The sequence below is a fragment of the Homo sapiens genome, chromosome 2, assembly GCF_000001405.40.
Source record: "Homo sapiens chromosome 2, GRCh38.p14 Primary Assembly".
NCBI classification, from domain to species: domain Eukaryota; kingdom Metazoa; phylum Chordata; class Mammalia; order Primates; family Hominidae; genus Homo; species Homo sapiens.
In genome coordinates this window covers 22,134,483-22,144,897 of record NC_000002.12, presented here as the reverse complement: position 1 = coordinate 22,144,897, position 10,415 = coordinate 22,134,483, and the positions used below count along the sequence as shown (strand labels likewise).

General features: G+C 34.8%; 1 annotated feature.

The window, feature by feature from the left end:
• Window positions 623-1,146: an enhancer, noted in NCBI's record as "NANOG hESC enhancer chr2:22366624-22367147 (GRCh37/hg19 assembly coordinates)". NCBI's record gives its function as "activates a minimal SCP1, AML or CMV promoter by ChIP-STARR-seq in naive H9 embryonic stem cells {active_cell/tissue: H9 hESC(naive)}" and the evidence as "EXISTENCE:reporter gene assay evidence [ECO:0000049][PMID:30033119]".

Sequence of the window (10,415 nt, the reverse complement as noted above, 5' to 3'; positions counted from 1 at the left end):
CCATAATATAGTGGACTTTATTTACATTTACAATTAAGGCTACCCTATCCCTACAGTGTGATGAGCTGCTATTCTAGTTCTTAACCATAAGAGAGAGAATCTCTCTGTAATTATCTTTCTTTTGGCCCCTACCTTTTATTTCTGAAACTCAATAGGAGCTGCTGGAATCTCAGAAGTGACATAGCATACCAGCTAGTCAAAATAAAAGAAGTTGCTATTAAGTTCAGTTTATATAAATCTCATACCATACTTCCTACCCAGAAACAAAATAAAAAATCAACAATGTCCATATATTCGGTGTAGTTGCTTTTTTGCTTGCTTGCCTACCAATACAGATATTACCCAACAATGAGCAGTATAGAGTGGATTAAAGAAAGTTTGTATCTATATTCACCACTATGGACAGCCTCCGGAGCAGCAGAGATCTATAGGTGGCTCCAGCAGGTAACATGAAAGTTTATCTCTTAATGGATCATAAACATTCAGAACAGAATCTACACAGATAAGAAGACCTTGCTCTGGGTCACACTAACAAGACAGCAGGATCCAATGGCCACAGGTCCTCTCATTATAATTGAATTTCCTTCTCTTATATTTTTGTTAGTAGTAGGCCCAAATGCATTTTCTTTGATACAAGGAGTTTGAAGACACAATGGAGCTTAATGTGTAAATTCCTTCCATTGGCCAAAAGCCTTTTCTTGAAGAACATAACTTAGTGTGTTTACAAGTTTTAAAAGCAGAGCAGTTCCCTACCCACTGTTCCTGTGCCCATCCTGTTATTTCCATCTGTATAGCAGAATCCTCACTAGCATAACACTCCTGGCCATTCACTTGCCCCTCTGTTACCTCCTCCCAGGAGGGGAAGGAGAGCTTACCTTATTAGTGAGTTTTGAAAGACAATAACAAGCATGTAAGATCCACCTCCTTTCTCTTTCCTTTCTCCTGGAAGTTGGCAGATACTCTACTCTATGTCATAAGGTTGATTGGGATAGACCCCTCTCCCTCCACTGATAAGGCTGGCAGTTTCAGTAGTGTGTCCTCATGTCCTTACATATGGGTAGTAAACCTTGAGAAGAATTGTGAAGCATAATGTTGCAAGTGGACAAATACTGAAGAATCCAGGGCACATGGTGTCTTATCTTCATGGCTTTCTTTAATATTTGTTTAGAGTAATTTCTGTGTACTTACGAAACTTTTAATTTTCAGCCAGGTATGTAGGTCACTAAGAGTTTTTTTACAAATCTCTGAGATTTTACTTACCATCCTTCACCAGGGCGAGGTAAGATCAATTAGGAAATTACATGTTTTGATTTTTTATTTTTATATTAACATACCCCTTAGGTTGTATTCCTTATCAGTTGATTATGCTTGTGAATATTGAAGATCCAAATAGCAGCCCTAGTCACAGTAATTCAATACATTTTGTAATTGAATAAAATAAAAATGGAGCCTCCTATGAGGTTTGGATATATAACCTTCACTTGGATAAAGGTAGAAGAGAGCTGATCATAAACATTTTAACCACCTCTTTAAATGTTATTCTTCAAGAAAGTTTACACCTGGGTGAGTTAATCTTGGGACTATTAGCCTGGCACAGGGACAGTCTTAGGGCATAGGAAAGTAGCAGAGAAATTGAAGAAGGTTTCCGATGAATATGAGATGGTGTTTTAAGAAACGTCTATCTTTGAAAATGAGGACAATTTAGGAAAATAAGTTAAAAGAATATATATATTTATATATTTTCTCTAATATATAAATGTATATATGCATATAAGTGTATATACATATAAATGTATATAATACACATATATAATACATATATTCCCTATAATGTATATTCTCTTTATATATAAATATATATATTTACATAAATATATGCATATATAAATGTATAATACATATATAAACATATACTTATAGAAATTATATAAACATATATATTTCAAAGACAAGGTTTTAAAGGCCATAATTCAAATGAAAAGGATATAAAAATATACTGAGGACACTATATACCAAAACTTAACTACTTTTAAGGTTTTTTCTGAACAAGGGGAAAATTTTTTTCTTGATAACAGGGTCAGCAAAAGTGATTGGGGCTTAAGAAAACCTCACAGAATAATACAATAAAGATGACAGTGATCAAGCTGAAATGATTTCCACAGATAGATCTAAGAATCAGAAAATTACTTTAAAATGCCATTTCAAAGCAACAGATAAAGTACACGTTAAGTGCTAGTGGAAAACTGCCTTCTTGAATATTGTGATAATTATAACAACAGATTCTATACTATTTTAACAAATGCAATAGGAAAAGACCAGGAGTAACAGTGTAAAATCCTCAAATTATTGTTGAGTGAGTTTCAAAGTAAATTGATCATTGTGAATAGAGACACAGGTATGAAGTGTTTTATCAGGCAATATGCTATGGTAATTTTATGAAATTACAAGTATGAGGCAAGATAAAAGATAAATGATATGAACTAGGGGGAGACTATCAGATTTCAACAAGTTGAACCTGGGCTGGAGCTACATTTTGGATTGAGAGAGGAATAACTCTTAGATGGAATTACACTGCTCGGGATAACAAGGCAGAAATATTTTGACAGAAACAGAAATGAAAGCAACACATTTCTTGCTATAGAGGACCCCAGTAGAGTCTGAGATGTATATTATAAAGAAAAACATAAAAGAACATTCAACAGAGAAAATTAAACATAGCTGCTTTCTCAACCATCTAAACAATGACACGTTTATAAATCAAGAGGAGCCTTAAGGAATAGTGGGAGGGCAACATCCAAGTTGGAAGAACAGGCAGAATTAGGTTGATAGATGTTTAGGGATATCAGGAAATTGAAGACACCCAAATATGACTGAATGAGGTCAAGCACTATTTGGAGAGCAAATAACTGAAGTTGTCCAAATTATGAATCAATGTATTTTGCCTGTAGAATTGCCTGTCATCGATATAAACACCCCACTGTCAGGAGAATGCAGCATCAGTAGAAATGTTGTGGACACAGACTGGAGAAAGAAAACTTGATAATAGAAAATCAGGCACTTGAATGCTCTGAGGAATTGCAGGACCGAAGATAGGGTAGCCCATTATTTCCATTCTGGAACTTTGCTAGGGCCAGAGTATGGGCAACTGAAAAAAGTAAATGTTGATGCTGTGTCCTCAGTTAGTGTGATTACATCAACCGTTCTGGAGAATGAGATGGGCATGCCCATCTTCCTTTTCTTTCTCTTATTCTTCTCTTCTTCTCCCTATTCCTCCTCCTCCTGTTTCCTTTTCCTTCTCCTCCTCCTCTTTTTTCTTCTGCCTTCCTCATTCCCTCCTTTTCCATTTCTTCCCTCTCCTTTGTCTTTTCTCCCTTTAAAGGAACACCAAAATGTCTAACTTCATATTTTCAGGAATAAATATAATAATATAAGAAATGATAACAGAGTTAACATTTTCTAAGATTGACTTGAAAATAAAATATTTTTGTTAATTTTCTCAGGCTTTGACACAATTTTATTTTGGAAAATCTGATAAAACGATTTGTATTTAAATTGGGTGATATCTTTATTGGCATTTGCATAAATCTTGATGTTGTCATTTGATTTCATTACAGAATCTCTGACAGACTGCTTTGGACAAAGTTGCTTAAAATATTTTGGAATGGGAAATAGGAACACTTCCAGCCTTGGATACAGTATGGATCTATTATAGATGTGATTAATGTACTGTTCTAATCTATTTTAGGTTTGTAGGGGCAAGATCTATATTCTCCAGTAGTATTTTAGGAAGATAATCAAGGGGGATAATTTTATTATGGGGCAAGTGGTTTCATCAGAGCAGAGCATAAATGCCAATTTCCTTCAGAGTAACCACATCTTTGGTTGACTATAAGCTTAATGGCCAAACCCAGTGAATTAAGAGATGGAAAGACATGGAATATTTGGAGGAAAATACTTCTTCTCAAATTAGTGTTTTCTTATGTGGTTTAAGGCCTTATGATTACACCAAATCTTGCCCTTTACTATTCCCATATAGAGGTGGATTAAGTTCTCATATTAGTGAGTTTGAGAGAGGACCTGAATTCAGGTAGCCAACCCTCCTTTCTCTCTTACTTTGAGACACAGGCTGACTGCAGAGCACACATGCATTTCATTGCTTTTGACTGTGCACAGAGCACAGAGAAAGTAGGCTTTTTCTCATGAGGGTTGGGGTGATATGGTGATTCTCGGAATGAGTTCATTTTGGGGGAATTGTCAACAGTAAGAAGTAACAGAAAGGTTAAGTTGTCTTTATAGAGCATCTCTGCCTATGTTGGAGCAATATGATAAACTCTACTTAACAAAGTGATGGTATTACGGGAAAATGGTGTAGGCTCTATGACATAGGTATGAAACTGTGCTACTGATTCCATAGACTTAAAGGCAAGACCTAAAACCAAGAGCTAATTCAAACAGAAATAGATGACAGCTCAATGTCAGAGCAGGCATTCAAAAATACATAAAATGGTCCAACAAATTGTGAGCAAGACAATATCCTTTTAGAAGTGCTGAGTGTAATGGTGGACATATTAAATATACAGCTGAATAATTTTAAACATTCTACTTAACTGAAAGCTTTTGGAGAGCTTGGAAATATAATCTATCCTTGCAAAGCCCCACTTATGGAAAATAGACTAAAAAGAAGGTGAATGTCCCCTAACTTGCACATCCCACATGGGACAGTCAGGTGAGGTGAGGTTGCCATCAAAAGTAATTCTTTAAAGAGATTCTAGTCATAATCAATGAGTAGCAATAACCTATTGAAACCATCATTGTTTTCAGAGAAAATTATTTTAATATATTTACCAGCTGTCTTTTCACCCTATCAGGGAGAGGTACCATCTACAGAGAACTGTATGTTTACTTCAAAATATTATCTAGATTAGCACCAAAACAAAGTAAACTATATTTGCAAAATTTTTAGTTATTAAGTAATCAGTATGATAGAATTAGTTATGTTAACAAATTTTTACATAGCACTTAACCAATTACAGTTATATTTAAGTATGACTTTTGATAATGCAAAATATATCTACTTTATTTAATTCAATAAAAACCATACATATTTAGATGTTTTGAATTTTAAAATAATACACCTGCTTATATTTAATAGATAAATAATTTTCTACAACAGCTTGTTTTATTAAATGAATAAGTAAACTCTCACATTAAAGTCGATATGAGTAACTTGAAATTTAATTCCACAGCTAACCAGTTTACCAGTTTTCTTTAGTAATTTATTCAAAAACTGACAGCAGAAGATTAACTTGCAAGTTTTTTTTATCCCTAAATGGTTCTGAAGTTTGTAATTAATGATCCTAAATAAATAAACCACTTTTTTCAGTATCAGTAGATGTGTGAGCCATGAAAATATGAACAATCAATCATTTAATTTATCATGTTTCTCACATTATGTTCTATTGATCACTGATACGAGATTCTGTAACTCAAGTTTTAACAAATATTTATTGAATGATGAACAGACTAAATCTCAGTATTTATAGAGAATATGTGTCAATGTCATAACTTCCTCATCCATGTCCAATTTCTCCATCCTCAACATATTCATTTTTCATAAAGAAATGTATTCCCAGAAGAGGTAAGAACTTTACTTTCTTCAGCAAACTTGATGGTTGGGTGTGTTATCTTTTATATTCACATTTTGTTATTAACAAATGATTCATCTCTGCACATACAATTCACAGATTAATAAATGAAAAGGCTTTTATTAATAATTAATGACATTTTCTTTATTTGCTGAAGACTGAAATTCAGTGAGCTGAAAACTTCTCTTAATCTTTTAAAATAATATCTAGTAAAATTATCTGTGAGTTCCATTATATTGTATTCCCATGATAATCTAATGCTACATATATCTTATAGTCAAATTATTTTGAATAGGTTAATCAAGTTTATCCAAATTTTATTAAGTCTCCACTTTTGACAAAGCAGAGTAGGATATAGAAATGGAAAATATATAGGATACTTTTCCCTCCTCAGGTATTTATTCATACAGTATATTCAGATTTACTGTCTTAATTTCATTAATTTATATATTCAACATATGCTTTTTGGTATCTTAGCATGTGCCCTGACCATAAGGGCCTGAAGGCTGAATGGTGCTGAAGACAGTCTTCTTGCCCTCTTTGCCACTGAAATCCAGAGGACAGATAGGAAATAAGCAATGGAAAGATAATTTGGTTTGAAGCAACATGAATATAATTTTCTTTAAAATGAAATATATGTACCATAATGTCTCTTTTTTTAGACAAAGTTTCGCTCTTGTCCCTCAGGCTGAAGTGCAATGGCACGATCTCGGCTCACTGCCACCTCTGCCTCCTGGATTCAAGCGATTCTCCTGCCTCAGCCTCCTGAGTAGCTGGGATTACAGGCGCCTACCATCACACCTCACTAATTTTTGTATTTTTAGTACAGATGGGGTTTCACCATGTTGTCCAGGCTGGTCTCGAACTCCTGACCTCAGGTGATCTGCCTGTCTCGGCCTCCCAAAGTGCTGGGATTACAGGCGTGAGCCACCGCGCCCGACCATAACATGACATTTCTTTGTGTAGTTGAATATGTATGTTATGAGTAAATATCTAAAGGACGAATCAAATCTATTTTTATCAATAATGAAACAATGAAAATAATTATTTGGCTTTCCAAGGAAACCATCTTAGAGGAGGCAGAGTGTTATAAGCATGCTAAAGACAATGAACGTATTTATTTGCTTCCTCAAGAATTCTCACAACATGATAAATTTTATTAGCATCAGAAAGGTACTGTTTTCTGATTTTAAAAGTTACATTACCTAGAATACTTACATAAAAATCTATGCGAATTTGTATTTTAAAGCTTCCTGGCCCTCTTGTAACAACTCCCATGCCCATTAATTCCCCCATTCTTCTGGAAGATTATTTCCATATCATTTTCTCTCTCCTAAAATCTCCATACCCTTCTCCTCTTTTTCTTTGTACAGGGGGTGGCCTTCCTATTTTAGTGACAAAATAGAACTGATTAGAAAAAACATTTCATGAACTTCTATCTTTACATCTGACACCTGTCTACACAGCCGTGTGCCCAATGATCGTCTTCTCTCCTGTTATCATAAATGCATTACTTCTGCTAACAGAGGTTTGTCAGTTTGCACATGAGATTTCATCTCCTCTTCCTCAGTATAGTATATTGTGCCAATAATTGTATCAGTCATCTTTTGTATCATTAACATTTATCTCTCTGCTAGAGCTCTACTATGAGTGCACACTTAATCTGGTCTCTGTACCCTACTTCCCTCTCTTGCTATTGCTCTTCGCTTTCCTTTCCCTTGGAGCAAAACTGTTCTATGGTGTTGTCTATATTCACTACTACTGATTTCTCCACTCTTAGCCTATGCTGAACTCACTTCATTCAGAATTTCAATTTCACCAGGCTCCTGAAAATGCTCATTTCAAGGTCACCAATGACCTCCACCTGGTTAAATCCAATAATTAATTCTCATGTCTCCGCTTGCTAGGCCTATCAACAGCATGTAACAGTTACTTACTGTCTGCTTATAAAAACATTTTTTTTTTCTACTTGGTTTTCAGGTCACCACAATCTCCTGCTTTCCCTCCTAACTCCCTGCCACTCCTCAACCTCCTTGGATGGTTCTTCCACAAACATTCTAATGCCAATGATCAGTCTTTTGATATACTCTCTTCATTATCTGTGTTCATTGCCTTCCAGTTACATAATTTGAATACTTTCTCTTCACTGAGGACTTCCAAGGATATTTTCCCAGCCTAGACCTTTTCTCTGAATGCCAGACTCATATACACGCCTGCCTACCTGACATCACTTGGATTTAAAGCTGGCATTTCAGATTAACATGGCAAAAAACTGACCTACTGAACCATCCTCTCCTGCGTGAAAAATCAAGGTTTTTCTGCAGCCTTTCCTGCACAAATTGACGACAACCTCATCTATCTATTAATTCAGATCAGATAGAATGGAATTATTCTTGACTCTACTGTTTTGCTCCCTCACCACAGGTACTACAACAGCAAAACGATTGCCTGTCCTCTTAAAATGCATGCAGAATTTGACTGCCTTTGACCGCCCCCACTGCCCACTCTGGTTCGAGCTACCATCATTTTTCACTTGATAATGCCAGTTTGTCAATGTGGTACATTTCTACCAGCAATGTGTTCCACATTCTCACCACATTTGGTATTGTCAGTCTTTTGTGGTAGATATGCAGTGACATTTTATTTTGATTTAATTTGCATTTCTTTGATTACTAACGAGGCTTCACACATTTTCATATTAGCCATTTGGATATCTTCTTTTGGAGAGTTCCTGTTAAAACTTCTCACCTACATTTGAATAGCTTTGCTTTTATTGATATAAAGCCATTTTTGTATAATCTGAATATAAAACTTTTCCGGTTACATGAGTACTAATTACCATCCCCTACTCAGTGGCTTGATTTTTTGTTTTCTTAATTCTATCTTTCAATGAAGATAAGTTCTTATTTTTGGTAGTAAAATGTATCCATCTTTCTTGGATGGTTATTGGTTTTCGGTTTCCCTTAATTTTTTTCCTACCCCAAATATCATGAGGATATTATCCTTTATAATCTTTTGAAAGGTTTGACTTTAACACACAAATATTTAATCTGGCAGGATTTGATTTTGTGTGTGCTGTGACAAAGTGGCTAAACATCACTTTTTTTCATATGGAGATCCAATCATCTCCCTGGAAAAATAGTTCTTTTTCCACTGATCTTTAGAAGCATCTCTAAAAACAAATTGAATGTTCACACAGGTGATTTTCCCCTTAGGCCCTCTGTTCCATTCTACTACAGGTGGGTGAAAGGCCTTATTAAAGATGAAAAACCCAGAAGTCATAAAAATATCAACAAATCTGATTTGATATTATTAAATAGATAATTTTTAAAGGTCTTAACCTGATACAAATGTGAGAACAAAAGTTAACATATAATCAACTATCTGAGGGAAATATACTTTCCTGGTATTGTATATTATTGACCAGAAGTTAAGTTCATTAAGCTATAGAACACTTCTATGAATCAGCATGAAAATTATCAGCAACACAAAAGGAAAATTTGTAAAGGGAAATAAATGTAGAGAGTTCACTGGAGAATCAATAAAAATGGTATATGAACATATTAATACATTTGTTTCTCATAATTAATAAAATTTAAAACGATGCAATTTTCATTCTATCAGAACAGCAAAGGTTGCTTACATGTTAGCATAATCTGTTACTGAGGGTGAATGAAAACCAACTCTTTTATATTCTATTGGTGGGAATGGAAATATGGGATACCTTTCATAATCCCTATCTGTATTGGCCTAGCTATTCTGCATGTGCGTATAACCATAAAAGCAGTTTATCCTCCCCAAACCCTATGAAGCCAGCCCTTTTATTATCCCATTTCATTTGTGATATAAATACAACAAATATAGGTAAAGCAACTTGCCCAAGATTAAAATTAGGTTTTGTTTTTTTTTTGGCTGAAATTTGGTCCTAGTCTGACTTCACACTCCAGGCTCTTAATCAAATTTAACTGCCTTTCTATGAATATTTGAGGATATTCATTGTAGCAGCTTTATCAATATAGTATTAGATATAACATAAATACCAAGCAATATAGAATTTTTTTAAAAAATTATCTTCAAGAAATGAAATATGAAGCATTCATTAAGAAAAGAATGCTATAAATCTGTACGTGCTGATTAAAAAATATATAAAAACCTGGTGGTACTAGTTAACTTTGCAGTGAATCCTGGAAATCCAAAGTCAAAGGCAGATTTATTTTTCATTATTTCATAATTTTATTTTTCAATTCTACATTGATGCATGGTTTTAAATGTTTGTCAGGGGCATTTAAACCTTTCTGGGTAGTGAAAAAATGTGATTAAAACAGATAATCAACTCTGTCTGGACCATGTCCACTCTTGAGGTCTGCACCAAATGTACATACTTAGTAAAGAAAGTTTTCACTCATCCTTTGCTCACGGTAAATGTGGAATCCTAGGAACCATGCCTTGAACAGTTTTGGCATCAGATACAGGCTGTGGTTTACCCCTTCAGTTAATTATAAAGAGAAAAAAATATAAATGTAACAGTATCCATGACATTTGGGAGGCAGTTTGTGAAGGAGCCCAAAACTGTGAGGCTTCCTGCTGGGCTCTGTCATGCCTTCCAAGAGCCCTGATAGTTCATTCCTCAGAAGAAATGTCAAGCTGCCCATGCTGTCACAGAGCAGATGCTCTGCTGACGTCTTTGGGGAAGTGTCAAGTGACTAGAATCTGGATGCCAAAGATGGAATAAAACTCTTACCCTCAGCACTACATTCTGTGTGCCCCGTG